Source organism: Homo sapiens, chromosome 15 (assembly GCF_000001405.40).
Source record: "Homo sapiens chromosome 15, GRCh38.p14 Primary Assembly".
NCBI classification, from domain to species: Eukaryota; Metazoa; Chordata; class Mammalia; order Primates; family Hominidae; genus Homo; species Homo sapiens.
Window position 1 is genome coordinate 50,590,721 of NC_000015.10, and position 19,289 is coordinate 50,610,009.

At 36.3% G+C, this 19,289-nt stretch overlaps 1 protein-coding gene across 5 annotated transcripts in view, besides 1 other annotated feature; it reads right to left on the reverse strand.

Annotated features, from left to right (window-relative positions):
- TRPM7 (transient receptor potential cation channel subfamily M member 7) overlaps window positions 1-19,289 on the reverse strand; it is a 129,640-nt gene that overhangs the window by 33,563 nt on the left and 76,788 nt on the right. For 2 of the 5 annotated variants that reach the window (NM_001301212.2, NM_017672.6), the window contains exons 18-26: window positions 19,086-19,241; window positions 18,861-19,004; window positions 16,480-16,608; window positions 14,146-14,424; window positions 8,402-8,576; window positions 5,535-5,661; window positions 3,709-3,893; window positions 2,897-3,029; window positions 1,191-1,906 (exon numbers count right to left, since the gene is read on the reverse strand). In NM_001301212.2, the coding sequence (NP_001288141.1) occupies window positions 1,191-1,906; window positions 2,897-3,029; window positions 3,709-3,893; window positions 5,535-5,661; window positions 8,402-8,576; window positions 14,146-14,424; window positions 16,480-16,608; window positions 18,861-19,004; window positions 19,086-19,241 (2,044 nt within the window). The remainder of the gene's footprint in view (window positions 1-1,190; window positions 1,907-2,896; window positions 3,030-3,708; window positions 3,894-5,534; window positions 5,662-8,401; window positions 8,577-14,145; window positions 14,425-16,479; window positions 16,609-18,860; window positions 19,005-19,085; window positions 19,242-19,289) is intronic. The other 3 variants (NR_149152.2, NR_149154.2, NR_149153.2) reach the window with 3 other exon arrangements.
- Window positions 1,433-2,632: an enhancer, noted in NCBI's record as "BRD4-independent group 4 enhancer chr15:50884350-50885549 (GRCh37/hg19 assembly coordinates)". NCBI's record gives its function as "activates an origin of replication core promoter dependent on BRD2, P300/CBP, MED14 and CDK7 cofactors, and independent of BRD4, by STARR-seq in HCT116 cells {active_cell/tissue: HCT116}" and the evidence as "EXISTENCE:reporter gene assay evidence [ECO:0000049][PMID:35650434]".

A 19,289-nucleotide genomic window follows, 5' to 3' on the forward strand; every position in this document is an offset into this window, starting at 1 on the left:
GGCTGAGGCAGGAGAATCACTTGAATCTGGGAGGCAGAGGTTGCAGCGAGCCGAGATTGTGCCACTGCACTCCCGCCTGGGCGACAGAGGGAGACTCCGTCTTTTAAAAAAAAAAAAAAAAGGGGGAATATATTTAACGTAGGAAAAGTTATATCTATGTATCTAGAGTGAATCCCATATAGCCTAGAAGTAATATCAACATGTTTAGTGCCTAGATAACTTCCTAGGCTGGCCTTAATGTGGCAATTTTCCATGGGCTTATTAACATACTGTCTGAATAATCTCTATGCATGAAAGTTTTCACTAAGGTCTTTAATGTGTTACTGCCAAAATAAACATTTTTTTTTGTTCTTATCTTATTTAAGCTATCATAGGTATAAGAATAAGTCATTCCTTTTTGAAATGTTCTCTGTGAATATATAAATAGGTACACCATAAGTACTAATTTTCCCAGTAGATTCCTAGATTTCCATTGTTGTTCTGATATAATTATTAATAGTGCACCCTTTCACTTTTAAAGTGTCTTGGTTTGGGTAAAAAAATTATATGGTCATCTATTTATAGGGCACTGTTCTTTTCCAGTTGATTCTAACCTCCCCTATGAGGTTCTCCAAGTACTTAAGAATCACTTAGGTTTTCAACAAGAGTTGATGAAACCCAATTGAAGATATTCAAATTCAAAAGACAGAACCTAAAATTCCATCAAAGAGGTTATGTGCCAATATAACTCTTATAGCCTAATTCAGTCTATTTCCCCTACTTCTGATTTTTTTTTTTTTTTCATTTCATTTCTAGAGACAGGGTCTCATTCTGTCACACAGGCTATGGTGCAGTTGTGTGATCACAGCCCACTGCAGCTTTCAGCTTCTGGGTGCAAGCAGTTCGCCTGCCTCAGCCTCCTGAGTAGCTGGGACTTCAGGCACATGCCACTGCGCCTGGCTACTTCCAAAAATTTTTTGTAGAGATGGGGTCTTGCTATGTTGCTCAGGCTGGTCCTCAACTCCTGGGCTCAAGCAATCCTCCCCACTCAGCCTCCCAAAGTACCAGAATCACAGGTGTCTGATTCTTTTTAAAAATTTTATAATTATACTCTATGAAAAGATAATGACTTGTAACAGTACATATTTCTATTATTTCTAAGGTGAAAAGTAAATAATATTGATATACAAATACGAATTTGCCAAACTTACCTACAAATGCTCCAAATTCTGTATTATCTCCTTCTGTAGCTTTAGAGCAAACAGTTTCTTGATCTTTGGTTCCAGTTTCCAAGTGGCTTTTGCAACTTGGCTGAGATGGTGTACTAACAAAAAATTTGGTTGGTGGGGATGACAGATGTGGTATGCTAGTAGATGAACTGCCTAATTTTTGATTTTTATTAAATATTTTTAAGAGTTCTACCCCATGTAGTCTCTGTCGCAGTTCTGGAGGGGAAACAGCACTTGGGAATAAGGCACCAGAAGAGGAACCAGCCTCTGGAAAATTAAATTCTTTTCTCTGGGGTACTGCAGGTAAGTCTTGACCAAATATATTACACTGGGGATCTTTGTCATCTTTCATTAAAATATTACAATGAAAAGGATTATTACTTTCAAGATCACCTTGAGGAAGAGAGGAGCTAAGTGTATTTACAACACCATGCTTTTTCCATACAGAAGGTCTTACAGGACCATCATCAATAAGGTTTTGAGCCAAGTGTTTGGAAATGCTCAGTTCTCGTGTGATTTCATTATGAACTTTGCTAGCTTCCGACGCTTTCTGGGCAGTGAGTGTTTTTAATGTATCTACCGTCAGGGCTGAAAGATCTTGCAAATGGCCAATTTGAGAATCTAATGATTGTAATGATCTTTTTATGTAGTTGACACGATCTCCAACTTCTTTAATCTGAATGCACATCTGTTCCACTCTGTAGGAGAGAAATAAGCTTTTTTTACAAATGTGAAAAAATAATGTAGAATTTTATTTTGTAGCCTCAAATAATAATGATAAAAAGAGAAAAATTTCACATGCATTTAAACAAGATATAAAATAAGGTACAGTTATTTAATTATACAAGGCCTACCTTATGTTTAAGAAGGATCCAGTGCTAATCTTATATTAAAATGCAAGATTTCAAAAAACGTTTTTGTTCCACAGGCTACTTATTCCAATTACCCCACATCAAAGTAACACAAAATAATGTATATACAGCTACATATATACAGAACTACCATTACTGTTACTGTAACTGTTACCAAACACCATATGCTTCCAGAATGTAGTGAAGCCAACAGAAAAAAAGAAATGCTGGCCAGGCACAGTGGCTCACGTCTGTAATCCCAGAACTTTGGGAGGCTGAGGCGGGCAGATCACGAGGTCAGGAGTTCGAGACCAGCTTGGCCAACATGTTGAAACCCTGTCTCTACTAAAAATATAAAAATCAGCTGGGTGTGGTGGTGCACGCCGGTAATCCTAGCTACTCAGGAAACTGAGGCAGGAGAATCACTTGAACCTGGGAGGCGGAAGTTGCAGTGAGTGGAGATTGTGCCACTGTACTCCAGCCGGGGCAAAAGAGGAGACTCTGTCTCAAAAAAATAAAAATAAAATAAATAATAATAATAATGATGATAATAAAAAATGCTGTAAAATAGTGAGGACAGTTTTACTTTTCTCCCTCCAAACAGTAAAGAACAGTAAACTCTTCTATCTTCTGTAACTAGGGTAAAAAAATAAGAGACTGACCAACTGACTTATATGAAGTATTAATAGAACTGAACGATCTTTCCAATACATCATGTAAAACTGTAACTATGCTTATTGTTTGACAAAATAAATTTAACAATGACCATGTATAAGAAATATAACGAATAGATCCCATTTTGACATATAACCGATTTTAACTAAAGGGCTTCTGAACCTTTCAAAAGTGACACGAATTCTCTCTTCACTCCCAGAATGAAATTTGTCATCTTTTTCATTGAAATACATTTCAACACACTGCTCTTCAAAATCATGAAGTTTCTTTTGATCTTCTTCTGTTAAGAAAAGTTCTATGGGAGGAAAAGGAGAAGAAAATCAAGGAAGAGCTATCAAGGTTTCAACTTTAGCTCATAATTCTTACGAATTATTCAGGGTTTCTAAGACTACATCCATCATCTGCACTTTTTAAACTTTTACTACTATGCTTCTAAAGCACTAGACAATTATCTTTCTTTTTTGCTTCACCAGTGTGATGTCAGCAGAATACAATCAGGTACTTCCTCCTCCTCTTCTGATTTCCTTTTCCTATACAACATCCCTCCGCTATCTCTCTCATACCTCTCCCTCACGTATCTACTCAGAGAAATTTAAGAACTAATTTGAAAGTCCCTGTAAAATTTTAAGCATAATTTGACACAGTATGATTAGTCTCATGTACACAGAATGTACTAAAATTGTTATTGTTTACAGAGCTGTAAAAATGGTTTGTAGAACAACAAAGAAGTTCGGTTTACATTACCATTTTAACAGAAACAGAGACGCCATTCTCATAACGAAGTTTAATGCTAAATCCATTTTTATAGATATCATATTGCACTTAAAAATTCCTTTATGTACAGGCATATTTAACAAAAATCTACCATAACATTAATCCACTAAGTCATTTTTGAATAAAATCAATATATAGCCTTTGGTGTAAAAATGAGAAGTGATAAAATGAAAACATTTGCCTTAATATAGTTTACTTACTTGGTCCATCGGAAGTCTTATCTTTCTTTCTTCTCTTACATATGCAGCAAAACAGAGAAACTATATGGCTAAGAATGATAAGTGGAGGAGGCAGAACTGGTTTCTCATGATAAGCCATAATAAAATGATAACGCTGGTACTTCCATACAATATTGGAAATTGCCTTCACTTGTAAATACACATTGCTAGAGAAATAATGAATAAAAATAAAATAAACTTTGTTAATCATCTCTTAAAGTTTTAAATACTGATGATTTCATTGTAATTCTGTACTAAATAATAATTCAAAAAATATCCTTCTGTAAACAAAACTAATAGCAAATGAGAAACTAGAAAAGATACAGGCAGTAAGTATAAGGCAAAGACTAACATTCAGCAGAAAAAAATAATTTAAAAAAATTTAAAATATTGTATGTAAATGGGTAAGACATAAGAAAATACTCAGACTTATTAGTAATCAAGTAAGTGCAAATTTTAAAAAACAAAATCCTGGCTGGGCATGGTGGTTCATGTCTATAATCTTAGCACTTTGGAAGGCCAAGAGGCAGGAGGAGTGCTTGAGGCCTGGAGTTCAAGACGAGCCTGGGCACCATAGTGAGACCCTGTCTATTTAAAAACAAAAAAGTTAGCCAGGCGTGATGGTGTATGCCTATAGTCCCAGCTACTCTGGAGGTGAGACAGGAGGGACTACTTGAGCCCAGATGGAAGAGGCTACAGTGAGCTGTGATAGTGCCACTGCACTCCAGCCTGGGCAACAGGCTGTCTCAAAAAATAAAATAAAATAATTTTATTTACTATCAAATTGGCAACCATTAAAAAAAAAATACTCAGTGTGGGCCGAGTTGAGGAAACAGGCCTATTTAGACTTAAGTGCAAAAGCCCTAAAAGTACATATACTGAACAGCCCTGCTTTTAGAAAAACATTCTAAACAAGCAAGTATTGCTCACAGATTTAACTACAATGTGGTGTTTAGGAGCAAGAATTACAATCTAATTGACCAATACAACATACTAGATTGAAAAATTATGGTCTATATCATGGAGTATCAGGTAGCCATTAAAAATAGACTGGAGAAGAATATTTGTTTATCTGAAATAATGTTCATGATGCTTTGCTTAGTTATAAAACAGTACATAAAATATAAAAATAGGCTAGGCACTGTGGCTCATGCCTGTAATCCCAGCACTTGGGGAAGCTGAAGTGGATGGATCACATGAGGCCAGGAGTTTGAGTCCAGCCCGGCCAACATGGTGAAACCTCATCTCTACTAAAAATACAAAAAAAATCAGCCAGGCGTTGTGGTGCACACCTGTAATCCCAGCTACTCAAGAGGCTGAGGCATGAGAATCCCTTGAACCCTGAAAACTAAGGTTGCAGTGAGCCAAGATTGTGCCACTCCAACCTGGGTGACAGAGGGAGACTGTGTCTCAAAAATAAATAAATTAAATAAAAATACTATTTCTGAAAAGAAAAATGGTTTACATATATTTGCAAAAAAAATGATAGAAAGGTGTACACCCAAATATTAACAGTGGAATTACTGATGAATTTTCTATATTGAATGCGTATTTGTTGGCAACCGAGGAAAAATCCCAGATAACGATTAAATTTATAAAGAAAACTGCAGGTTGAAAGATAATCAAACTTAAAATTTAGAACTCATTTGATTAGAAAAAGCATCTCCTATTTGTAATTTTTCAAATATAATTTTAGTAGTTTAAGCCTCAATAAAATTTTTAGATTTTAAGTTCTATAAATTTCCTTCAAAATATGTAGAATTGCATATTAAATCATCTTATAACAAACAATTGAACAAAATTCTTACTTGAAAAATGCAATAAGAAGATTAACCATAATGATATACTGTACAAAGAGGTAGACTGCTTGAAGAAATGGAGTCAACCACGTCCCAGGACCACAGATTTGAGGGATAACAGAATCATTTGCACACACTTTAGAGAGAAAAAAAGAAAAAAACAAAAACAACTTAAAAATAGTAATTCATCAGTAACTGCTATTCATGAGTGTTTCTGGTTATTTATTTACTTAAAGTAAGTTTCGATTATGTACAAATCTGTTTCACAGATTCCAGCAAAAGCATCTGGGCAAGGAGACATAGGAACCCCAGCTTAAGAGTGTTCAAACACAAAAAGATGTTGTGAGAAATGTGGGTGCTATCTGTTTTACAACTCTATTCCAGAAAAGAAAGTATATTTAGGTGTTATATTTACCCTTCGAGGCAGGGTTTAACCTGACGAGCACTAAAGAGGGTAAAATTCCTGGATCAACCATATGATAATATTTCTGTAAGAAAAATGTCCAAACTTTTTTTTTCCCCTGAGACGGAGTCTTGCTCTGTCACCCAGGCTGGAGTGCAGTGGCGCGATCTCGGCTCACTGCAACCTCCGGCTCCTGGGTTAAAGCAATTCTCCTGCCTCAGCCGCCCGAATAGCTGGGACAACAGGCATGCGCCACCATGCCCAGCTAATTTTGCATTTTTAGTAGAGACCGGATTTCATCATGTTGGCCAGGCTGGTCTCGAACTCCTGACCTCGTGATCTGTCAGCCTCAGCCTCCCAAAGTGCTGGGATTATACGCATGACTCAACTTTAAGAGTATGGTTGACTCATAGCAAAACATATACATTTAATAAAGAATATTGAGTTTATCTTATTATGTCACAAAAATGGGGCTGAAGAAATAGCTAAAAGTGCTTCTCAATTATACCGTGATTAGATTTGAATTCCTTGTTTTTCATTACCCCTAACTGAAAAATTTCTGAAGCCAGAACATAGCTAATTACAAACAAGGAAAGGAAGAGCTTTAATACCCCCAACAGCATTACAAGGAATAAAGTAAATTAGGCAGGGCGAGGATTAGAATTAAATAATGATGAATTAGTGATAAGTTCTAGCTAAATATTTATAGTACACTTAGCATTTAGTATTTGGTAATTTTTAAAAAGTATATGCATCAATGACATTCATACGGTTCTATGATTCCTTTAAATGGTTTTACGGGCAAATTAATGGTAAGGTCTTTTCACTCTTAAATAATTTTATGAATCTATTTCCATTCTATTCAGATTAGTTTGCGGAAGCAAATACCCAAGAAAGAGAATGCAGGAAACTAAAAAACTATACTCAATGCTTTATAACAACTACACAATTAGAGTCATATCATTAGAAAAATAGCAGACAGCCAGGCGTGATGGCTCACGTTTGTAATCCCAGAACTTTGGGAGGCCAAAGCAGGCCAATCACTTGAGGTCAGGAGTTCAAGACCAGCCTGGCCAACATGGTGAAACTTTGTCTCTACTTAAAAAAACAAAAACAAAAAACTAGCCAGGCATGATGGTATGCAGCTGTAATCCCAGCTACTCCAGAGGCTGAGGCATGGGAATCACTTGAACCTGGAAGACAGAGGTTGCAGTGAGCCAAGACCACACCACTGCACTCCAGCCTGGGTGACACGGTGAGACTCGGTCTCAAAAAGAAAAAAAAAAAGTAGCAGACAATGAAACCCTGGAAATAACACCAAACAGAAGCCATTAAACACAAAATTTGACCAGGCTGGTAAAACAACATTAGTTTAACTACCGCCCAAGAACAAATAATGACCACAAATTTTCTATGTGGCCACCCTTGGACCTAACCACAATCCTCTCACTACATGGCCAACCCTTGACCTAATCACCCATAAATACGTAGGAAGGGAGTAACACAGATATTGGGGGAGGTAAGAATGAAGGAAGAAGAAAGAATAAGAGTGAGAGAGAATCAACAAAATAAAGATTCTATATCTCAAATGTGGAAGTCAGCAGAATATCACTGAAAGCTGACAGCATCACTTATGTTCACAGGTTATCTAGTCTCACTGACTAAGACAATGTAAGAGTCAAAATGTGAATAGTAACAAAATTGAACAACAAACTTAATATTCTAAGAACAGGGTTGAATCAGTGGGAGTTACGTCATTGATTATCCAGAGAATGTACTCACAAGCTGCAACAAAAATCTTGAGTATCTGTCATCTGTAAAACTCAACATGCTGTAAGCTTTCAGTATTCACACAGGATCATTATTTTTGTAATTAACGTTGTGCTTGACTTCTCAATATCGAATCTACCTGAATGATCTACGCTAATCATGGTAATCCCATCCCCCTTGTCTGTAACCATTTTAGAGATAGGCAGGCTGAAGCCAACTCAAGCTAATGAAATGAAAGGACAGGTTCAAAAGGGAATTTCTATGAAAGGGACATTTTCCTCTAAAGAGAACCATCGATAAACAGTGTCTCTTTCCTCCTGTTGCTAATGACAGTCTTAGAATCATAAGGGAAACTTATAGAGTTGGCAGCCGGAAGAAAAAGAACAAGTGTCCTTAGCTATGAATTAACCAACCCTAAAGACCACTAGACCTAGCTCAATATTGTTATGTGAGTTAATAAATGCCCTTATTGTGTCCTAGGACAGTTTAGACTAGACTTCTAATACCTGCCACTAAAAAAATTCTAAAATATTTTTTCTTCCAATTAATTTGTATGTTTCTTCTGGAGTTCACTAACGCCTTTGTGTGGGGCTTAGGTTGGTAATAGTTTGACTTCTGAAAATATGCAATATTACTATAATTCAATATTGGTTTTAAAACACAAAATAACCAAAAGATAAATCTGTAAATATACAATTCTTACCATCAATTTCGTATGCATAAACTTCACCAAAAATCATCCAGTATGGGTGAAAAACTATATCTTTAGCAAGAGTCCAAGATGGTGCTTCATGAGGATAAAGTATTGCCTTTCTGGGAACACCAAAACTAAGTAATACAAGAGCCATAATCACTACAATGTAGAACATATTGGCCACCTGTTAAAAAATGAACACTGTTAAAATACAAGGAAGTTTAAACACTATGACAAATCTTTCTAAAAGCTTCTAATGTTCTAATAGACCAAAAAAATCCATTAAACACAAAAAATCTTTGAGATTCTTTTTGTTCCTAGTGATAGCTTTCAGAAGAATTTCATCACTATATAAATCTTAACATCTAGGAGATTACGTAAAAAAAAATCTATTAAGCTAAGCAAGTCATGGGCATCTTTATCTACATAATGAATTGTATCACTGGTTCAAACTGAAGTGTACCTATCTCTGTGGTACGTGAAGATTTTCAAGAAGTACAGAGACACAGACAGATTTAGGGAATCAATTTCCACAACTGCCCTTTCCTAAAGCTTCTCTGTTCTTATAATGGAAGCACAGACTCTCTCTTTTCCATGTTGCCTCTGGTAATTGTACTTTGCCCACTTCACACAAAAAAAGAACACTTCCCACCCACCCTGAATCCATGGGTGCCTTGTCCTGGGATATGAAAACTTCCTAGGAGCCAAACAAAACAATCTGAATTATTAGCATGGGTGTTGAAAAACTAAAAGACACCAATGTCTGGGAAACAAATACTTTTGTAAGTCATGTAGTTTGTAATTCTTTAATTTCAATAAAATTCAAAAAGGGCCTAATTGAGCTAAAACCTAGTAATTCATTGAAAAATTATTTTCATTGTTAAATTACAATGTACATTTTGACATAATTATTTAAGGATTCAAAGAATTAAGCAGAATGCTATAATAAAACTTCACCTCCCATCTACTTATTTAGGTATATAAGTTCTCCAGCCTGCACTACTTACTGTCTAGCCTAGACAATATAAAAAAGTGAATATACGACCAGGAACAGTGACTCAAGCCTGTAATCCCAGCACTTCGGGAGGCCGAGGCAGGTGGATCACTTGAGGTCAGGAGTTCGAGACTAGCCTGGCCAACATGGTGAAACCCTGTGTCTACTAAAAATATAAAACTTAGCCGGGCGTGGCGGCACACTCCTGTAATCCCAGCTACTCAAGAGGCTGAGGCAGGAGAATCACTTGAACCCAGGAGGCGGAGGCTGCAGTGAGCCAAGATCACGCCACTGCACTCCAGTCTGGGAGACAGAGCGAGACTCCATCTTAAAAAAAAAAAAAAAAGGGAATATACATATAAAAAAGTGAATGCTTTCTCACTCTAGCAATATGTAATATTCATTCATAAATAATCATCTAGCTGAGGAGAAAAGCCTCATGCAAAAGAGAATACATTTACAATAAATCTGTACATTAACCTACTGTAAACTTAAAATAATTGTAATGACAACTTAAAATAAATTATGACATTTCCATATATTTTTAAAATGAATATACAGTGACAGCAGAAATGGAAAGTAAGATGTGAAAGGTAAAGGGGACAATAAGTAGTCAAGGCCGGATAAAGTAATTTTATAGGGGCTTAAGATTAGAAAGAAAAGTTGTATAGATAGCTGCGAGTCTTAAAATGTCAATTCAAATGAAGAGATGAGACTTGATGCTTCATCTTTAAAATTCTGTTAGATGAACAAATAAATTTTCTTTTTAAATTAAGAGCTGGCTCTCTGCAACTTGCAGAGGCCTAACACGCTCCAAAATTCTTAATTGGGTGTTCTTATTTGCAAAATGGACAAATAATGCCTTCATTGAGCATTTGAGAACAGTACTGAGAGAATGCATGCTTTCAAATAAACAAAATATTGCAAAACAAAAAGTATATTAAAAGATTTTAAAAGGCAAAAAAAGTATTAAAACATTATTCATGCTATTTGATATATTTTAGAATACAAATGCTTGTAATTAAAGGAAAAGCCAAGTCAAATATTCCAAATGAAACGCAAATCTGTATTGACGTAAACTAAAATTATTCAAGGTCTATGGTTGATGATTCATAGTCATCTTTGCATTTCACACAGCTTTTCACATAAAGCCTAAATGACAACCACTTTCCTTGTGCTTGATAGGAATTTAATTAATTAAAAATATGTGAGTATCAGCTTGCTCATAAAAATGAGGATTCTTAAAGTAAAATTTTACTGGGCACGGTGGCTCACGCCTGTAATCCCAGCACTTTGGGAGGCCGAGGCAGGCGGATCACAAGGTCAGGGGTGTGAGACCAGCCTGGCCAATATGGTGAAACCCTGTCTCCACTAAAAATACAAAAATTAGCCGGGCATGGTGGCGCACACCTGTAGTCCCAGCTACTCGGGAGGCTGAGGCAGAAGAATCGCTTGAATCCAGGAGGTGGAGGTTGCAGTGAGCACAGATCGCGCCACTGAACTCCAGCCTGGGTGACACAGCGAGACTCCATCTTAAAAAATAAAATAAAATAAAGTAAAATTTTTAAAAATGAGGATTCTTATAATGCATACAGAATGAGTGTGAGAAGTTTAGCATTTACCATATAATTTTCATTAGTCTGCTATTAAAAGATGTATTAGGTTGATGCAAAAGTAATTGCAGTTTTTGCAATTACTTTTAATGGCAAAAACCGCAATTACTTTTGCACTAGCCTATAAAGTGTGAGGGAGGTTTCTTCTTTTTAATCTTTTATTGTCTTCAAGCTTTTCAAAGCTGTTTCCTCTGGTTAGAAACTCCCTGCTCAGAAGAAAAATCCCACATATTTTCTTTTTTTTTTTTTTAATGATTATACTTTAAGTTCTAGGGTAAAGAAATACCATTTGACCCAGCAATCCCATTACTGGGTATATACCCAAAGGATTATAAATCATGCTACTATAAAGACACATGCACACGTATGTTTACTGTGGCACTATTCACAATAGCAAAGACTTGGAACCAACCCAAATGTCCGTCAATGATAGACTGGATTAAGAAAATGTGGCACATATACACCATGGAATACTATGTAGCCATAAAAAAGGATGAGTTCATGTTCTTTGCAGGAACATGGATGCAGCTGGAAACCATCATTCTGAGCAAACTATTGCAAGGACAGAAAACCAAACACCGCATGTTCTCACTCACAGGTGGGAACTGAACAACGAGAACACTTGGACACAGGGTAGGGAACATCATACACCGGGGCCTGTCATGGGGTAGGGGGCAGGGGGAGGGATAGCATTAGGATAAATACCTAATGTAAATGATGAGTTAATGGGTGCAGCAAACCAACATGGTGCATGTATACCTATGTAAATCCTACGTATTTTCTAAACTCCTTTGAAATGCCATAATCTTTGTGAAAGCCTTCATGACAGAATTGGTTACTAGCTCTTCTATCTTCACGTAACAATTTATCATATTTTTCAATAGCTACCTATCTGTTCACATGTCTATATTTAGAGACTCAATTGTTGAGTTCCACGAAGATCTGGACCATGTCTTATTCATCTTTGTAGCCCCAGCTTAGTTTAACTCTTAACATGTAATAGATACACAATGACGAAATAATGAATGTTAGAACTAAAACAGTAACCATTATGAAACTTCCAAAGGGGATGTAAAGGGAAGCTGGCACTAGGGAAAACACACAATGACGGAACAAATGACTAGCTGACAAGGAGAAAGACATCCTAGCAGAGGGTGGTTCTAGAGAAGATCACAAATAAAGGCTTCTGTACTTCCTAACTCTTCCATTTACATTACCATTAAAGTAACTAGACACCACTGAGTCACTAAATAACCTGGTAAGCATAAGAGCTACAACACCTTTTTTGCATGCTAAAATGTTAGGCTAAAACCAATTCTTCCCAAAAAACCTTAACTGCCCTATTTTTCCTTGAAATACCATAAGAATGCCAAAATGTGTGAATAATGAGTAATACTTTGATGTGAAAAACAGTACACCAGTTATTCTCAATTAAGGGGGGGAAGACACATTCTCTTGGAGGGAAACAGTGCAGCGTGAAAGTGCAAATATAATAATTTATATTTAGAAAACCTAAAAATCTTGTTTTCAAGATGCGAAGATAATCTTGTGAGCTTAGCAGGGTTACTCAAGAAATATTTAATTTAGAAGACTGATTTTTTTTTTTAATTATTATACTTTAAGTTCTAGGGTACATGTGCACAATGTGCAGGTTTGTTACATATGTATACATGTGCCATGTTGGTGTGCTGCACTCATTTACATTAGGTATATCTCCTAATGCTATCCCTCCCCCTGCCCCCCACCCCATGACAGGCCCCAGCGTGTGATGTTCCCCATTCCCCACCGTGTGTCCAAGTGTTCTCATTGTTCAATTCCCACCTATGAGTGAGAACATGCGGTGTTTGGTTTTCTGTCCTTGCAATAGTTTGCTCAGAATGATGGTTTCCAGCTTCATCCATGTCCCTACAAAGGACATGAACTCATCCTTTTTTGTGGCTGCACAGTATTCCATGGTGTATACGTGCCGCATTTTCTTAATCCAGTCTATCATTGATGGACATTTGGGTTGGTTCCAAGAGAAGACTGATTTTCTAAGATTAAGGGAGTATAAGAAACTCTAAGAATAGCTTTTTATATTTATTAAAATGGGACAACTATTTTAAAATAATTGAGAAACAGCATGTATTTTTAAAGCATATTTTGATAAAACTACTGTATATATTTATTTACAAGAAGTCTGAAACAAACACATGTGTTCATACACATCTTGAGAGATGGAAGGATGTACGTTAAACTGTTAATAGTGAATGTCTCTGAATAGTGATTTGTCTGCATTTGCTGAAATTTCCTAGGATGAACAGGAATTTCAGAATAAGGAATAGCAATAGCTATATTACAAATTTTGCCTTTTTCACCACTGAAAACTAAAAGGAATTACGGCAAGGAGTAGACCCAATATATTTCAGATTCAGTGTATAAAAAAATTACACATTCAACTTGACATCTAGATTTTAAAAAATAAAACCTGCCACTCAGATAAGACTAAGGAAAAGAGCAAAATACTGGGCATACTGTATTAGGAAAAGATTAGGTATTTTGGGTTTAACTTTTAAAAAATAGCCTGGATCAAGCAGGGTGTGGTGGCTCACGCCTGTAATCCCAGCACTTTGGGAGGCCAAGGTGGGCAGATCATCTGAGGTCAGGAGTTTGGGACCAGCCTGACCAACATGGTGAAACCCTGTCTCTACTAAAAATACAAAATTAGCTGGGCATGGTGGCACATGCCTGTAATCCCAGCTCCTCGGGTGGCTGAGGCAGGAGAATCGCTGAACCTGAGAGGCAGAGGTTGCAGTGAGCCAAGATAGTGCCATTGCACTCCAGCCTGGGTGACAGAGCGAAACTCTGTCTCAAAAAGAAAAAAAAAAAAAAAAAGCCTGGATCAGTGAAGACAGGAAAAAGGAGTTACCTACAGACATAAACCATAGATGGTATAGCTAACATTATCTTGCAAAGCACTAAATGGGTATAGGGGATTGGGATTGAGCATGAGAAACTCTTAAGGAATGGCAGATGTGAAGTATGAGGCAAACAAACACAAAATAAAAGACATTCACTGGCTCAAATAAAACTATGTTAATAACATTTTTGTGATTTTTTAAAAAATCAATAAACCCACGAGTATTATCAAACATCTGTCAACTTACCATTTTTCCAATCATCATTACATAAGGTCCTGCCTGTTGATTTACAGCTAGAAAATCTAGCAAACGCACATACCAAAATATTATGTTAAGACAGTAAATTAATCTTCCAGCCACAAAAACATGATTATCATATGCATTTGCAAAGTTCCATTTTGCTCCAAATCTTAGTCCAAATCCAATGAAGAAAGAAATTATGGCAATTGTATCACTGATGTTGAAGTAATCACTAAACCATACTTTAATCTTCTGGTTTACTTTCCCAGCTTCAGACATAAAGATCTAAAGGTTTAACAACAACAAAAAAAAGTGTAATCAGTTTATTCCTATTAAAACACATACAGCATTCAACTATAACATTACAGTAGAATTTCACATAGCTTTTATTTATTAACTTATTTATTTTGAGACAGAGTCTCGCTCTATTGCCCAGGGTGGAGTGCAGTGGCTCAATCTCGGCTCACTGCAACCTCCGTCTCCCAGGTTCCAGAGATTCATCCAACTAAGAAGCTGAAAATTCAGATTACAACCCAGTTCTCTAGACCTGGATTGTAAAATACTTTTGAAAAATTGTTTTATTTCAAATTAAGGCAGCACCTGGATATCCTGGTAGTAGCTGCCAAACCTGCCTTCTTTGTAGAAAGTAAATAACTCAATGGTTTAAGTAGCTGTATTTACCTAACTAATTTAAAACATATGCCTCTTCTCCTGAATATATGAATTTTAAGAATCATCTTTTGGGAGGAATGGTAACACATTCACAACTTCAAAATTCATGGTGTATCATAAATACTGCAAAGCATCCGTTTCACTCTTCTCCCTTAGCCAATTAATTACTCTTCCCACTAGAAGCAACCACTACTATTACTGTCTCATGAACACTTGCAGAGCTATTTTATGAATATACATATTTTAAAACGCTTTGCAATTTGCTTTTATCATTTAACAAATCAATTTCTTCAAACATGCTGATAAAACAACAGATTTAATAAACATATGGATCATAACACTCAGAGGAATTTAAAATGCAAAATAAGCTATCTAATAAGAAATTCCTTCTGGTTCGAGTTGGTGTTTGGAAAAGAAAAAAAAAAGAAATTCTTATGATATCTAAGTGAGAGAGAAGTACAACACCTTCTAATTATTTTTGCAATTTCTTGTATTCTCTAAATGTAAGGTAGAGACATGAAATAATTCAGAGGTACTTATGCAAGTATGTTATAAAACAATATTCATGGCCAGGTGCGGTGGCTCACGCCTACAATCCTAGCACTTCGGGAGACAAAGGCGGGCGGATCATGAGGTCAGGAGTTCAAGACCAGCCTCACCAACATGGCGAAACCACATCTCTACTAAAAATACAAAAATTAGCCAGGCTTGGTGGCACGCACCTGTAATCCCAGCTACTAGTGAGGGTGAGGCAGGAGAATCGCTTGAACCCGGGAGGCAGTGGTTGCAGTGAGCTGAGATTGTGCCACTGCACTCCAGCCTGGGTCACAGAGGGAGACTACGTCTCAAAACAAACAAACAAACAAACAAACAAAACCCAATATTCATGTAGCTACTACTTCAAAAACAAAGTATAAATATTACGAAAAAGATTTTCTTCAAAATCAGGATATTAAAAAAGACCTAACTATTTTATTTTTATTTTGAGATAGAGTATCACTCTTTCGCCCAGGCTGGAGTGCAGTGGTGCAATCTCAGTTCACTGCAACCTCTGCCTCCTGGGTTCAAGTGATTCTCCTGCCTCAGTCTTCCAAGTAGCTGGGATTACAGGTGGCCGCCACCATGCCTAGCTAATTTTTATATTTTTAGTAGAGATGGGGTTTCACCCTGTTGGCCAGACTGGTCTTGAACTCCTGACCTCGAGTGATCCGCCCGCCTCAGCCTCCTAAGGTGCTGCCATTACAGGCGTGAGCCACCGCGCCTGGCCTAAAGACCTATTTATAACTTACCTACCTAATTGGCTAAATCAGGTAGGTAAATTAAAAGTCATTTAGCTAAGTATATTTAATACTTTTTGAAGAGTGACAGAGAGCAAAAATGTGAATGTTCAGGAAATAAAACAAACAAACAAAATACAGGTTACATTTTTATAGGCTACATTTCTAACACAAATCATTTTATCTGTAATGGCAACAAAGTATACAGCATACTCACTAATCTCTATTCTTTTGCCATTATTTTGGGAACAGCAAAATTACACAGGTTCTACACTTCTACAATGTCATCATACACACACACACCCCCCTACGTATACACCCAAAACAAAACAAAACAGAAAATCTTCCATGTATACAGTAAATTATTGGTAGAAAAAAACTAAAGACATACCTCACGGACTTTCTCAATGGCATAAGTAAAAATATAAGCAATAACAATCCATTCTTGAACTGAAGGTAACTGTTCCATTTGTACAAGAACCACAAATGTATAAAGCATCAGAAATCCTAAATATGCCAACTAATGAAAAAGTAAAGGTTACATAAATAACATTGGTTACAAAATAAATCTTTTAATTATGAACATTTTCAAACACACACAAAAACAGACATTAAATGAACCTCTGTAAATTATCTCCTAGTTTCCTTTATTAAAACAATTTTAGAAATATCTCTTCTTCAGCACAGACATTGCATTTATTGGTGTATAAATGGTCCCCAGAGTATAAACGTGTTGTTCTACAACTCTTGTCAACCTTTAGAACGTCCCACAGAAGGGATTTTACAATCAGGTTTATGTTCTCAGCATATGCCACACAATTCTGCTTAACTCATACCTACAGTATCATAATATATTAAAATTACTGCAGAATTTCACCACCATAATCATCAAGGAACACATGTTTCCTGCCTCCTTCCTCCCCAAACCAAACAGTATTCCTAAAAAAGACAACTGGGGCACGCCGCGGTGGCTCACGCCTGTAATCCCAGAACTTTGGGAAGCCAATGCAGGCAGATCATCTGAGGTCAGGGGTTCGAAACTAGCCTGGCCAACAGGGTGAAACTCCATCTCTACTGAAAAAAAAAAAAAAAAAAAATTAGCCAGACGTGGTGGTGCATGCCTGCAATTCCAGCCACTCGGGAGGCTGAGGCACAAGAATTGCTTGAACCTGGGAGGTGCAGGTTGCAGTGAGCTGAGATCATGCCATTGTACTCTAGCCTGGGCAACAGAGCGAGACTCTGTCAAAAAAAAAAAAAAAAAAGAAAGAAAGAAAGAAAAGAAAAGAAAAAAAGACAAGACAAGACAGACAGACAACTGGTATTTTCTTAGCTCCCAGTCACTAAAGTTGAACCCCAAAAAGTGGAAAAAATGTGAAGTGGCTTTGACCCAGGTAAGGAAACAGCCCACCTTTGATACTCTTTACAAAACAGGTTACAGAGAGGTGCTAAAGTTTATGTATAAATACATGTGAGTATTTATTTCATTTCAGAGGAAAACCCACACTTATTGACCCTTGAAAAATTATGGGTAAGAATCCTCTCATCTGTCTTTTATTTATTTCTAGACTTTTATGTCTTGTCTCCACCAGTCCTAGAATAAGTCACATCCTTTATTTGATTATCTGTGGCAGGCTAGGGAGTAAACTGCAGTAAAGAAAGAAAAGAGAAATTCCTGTAGTCACCCATGTTGGCTATTTTAACGCAGCCATTCACATGAATGCAAATGTAAGCAAACTGCCCTATTTTCATCAGTGGAGACAGAATTTGGAGATTAGATCAGATAACTGATATTTGCAATTCCAGCCTCTGAATAGGAAGGAACAAGAACATTTTCATATAGAGGTGTAAGGAAATGTTAGTCTCAGGTTAATGGTCACATGTGTGGGTGAAAAAGCAATCACCAAAGAAACAAATTCTTGTTGATGAAAATGAAAAAATCTCCCCAACAACAAAGTTAAAAAACATCTTCATTAAGGGTTTTCCTATGACGGGGAGTTAAGAACTCATTTACTCAGTCCCTGGTTAAAAGTAGGGGCTAATCTCATTTGCTGTATCACCTGTTCCTTCAGGTTGGTCCATTGCTAGGGAAAGTAGCACCAGCAAGACAGCCAACTAATATTTCCTAGTGCTCATTCTCCACACAAAACAACCAAAACAACACATAAACACCTACATTTCAACCAAAATAACAGGTGAGTCCATCCTTGTATGGACATATGCTCTTTAACCTGCTAGTAAAATCAATTTTTCCATAAAGCAAGAGAAAAGCCAATTATATGGAAGGTAATCAAGCATACACTTTAATACAATTAAAGAAATAAGCCACAGATAAATAAAACCATATAAACAATCTGGATTACTTTTTATCATCATCAATTAACACTGCAAACAGGTTTATTTCTAGACTTTTATGTATCATCTGCAAAATCCTAAAGCACAAAAAATTATAACTGTGTATCAGAATCTCTTTTGGTCCATCTTTTATCATTATTTTTACTAGTTGATTAGTATTTGCTACCAACTTACAAAGGCCAATGGTATTGTATATTTGTTAAGTACATTTTTGGTTCCAATTAGAACTAAAATTTGTTAGTGTTTATCACTCTAGATGATGACAATTTAAATGAAACTAAGGCAAATGTATCACTCTTTTAAATGTGAAATGCCTTTTCAGTGATCTAAGTTATATCAACATTAGTATGGATTCCGAACCAATGGTCCCCCAAAGCCTAACTCTTAAAAACATTATGCTTGTGTAATTTAAAAACATACCGTGTTAAACCAGAATTTTACAATTGGTGCATGATAAAAGGCATAAAACTTTCGCGTAATTGGAAGCTTTTTTGATTTCATTTGTATCTCCATCTCATTCTTTCCTTCATTACTATCCAAAATCCGTACTTCTTTAAACACTTCCTAAAATTAAAAAAAAAAAAATTCTTTTGTACAATTATTCAGAACAAACTTATATTTACTTTAAAATGTTTTCCTGCTTACCATGGGGATCTCTTCTGTTATGTTCTGAAAGTTGTTTTCGCTGTCATCCATTGTCATCTGATGAGCATCTTGAGATTGTGGGATATGGGACATTTCAGCCTTAGTTTTATACTCTAACAGCAATATGGCAGGTGGAACTAAAATGCTTAGTATGACCTAAATTTTTAGAAACATAATTTTGCATTTAAAAATTAATGACCTTCA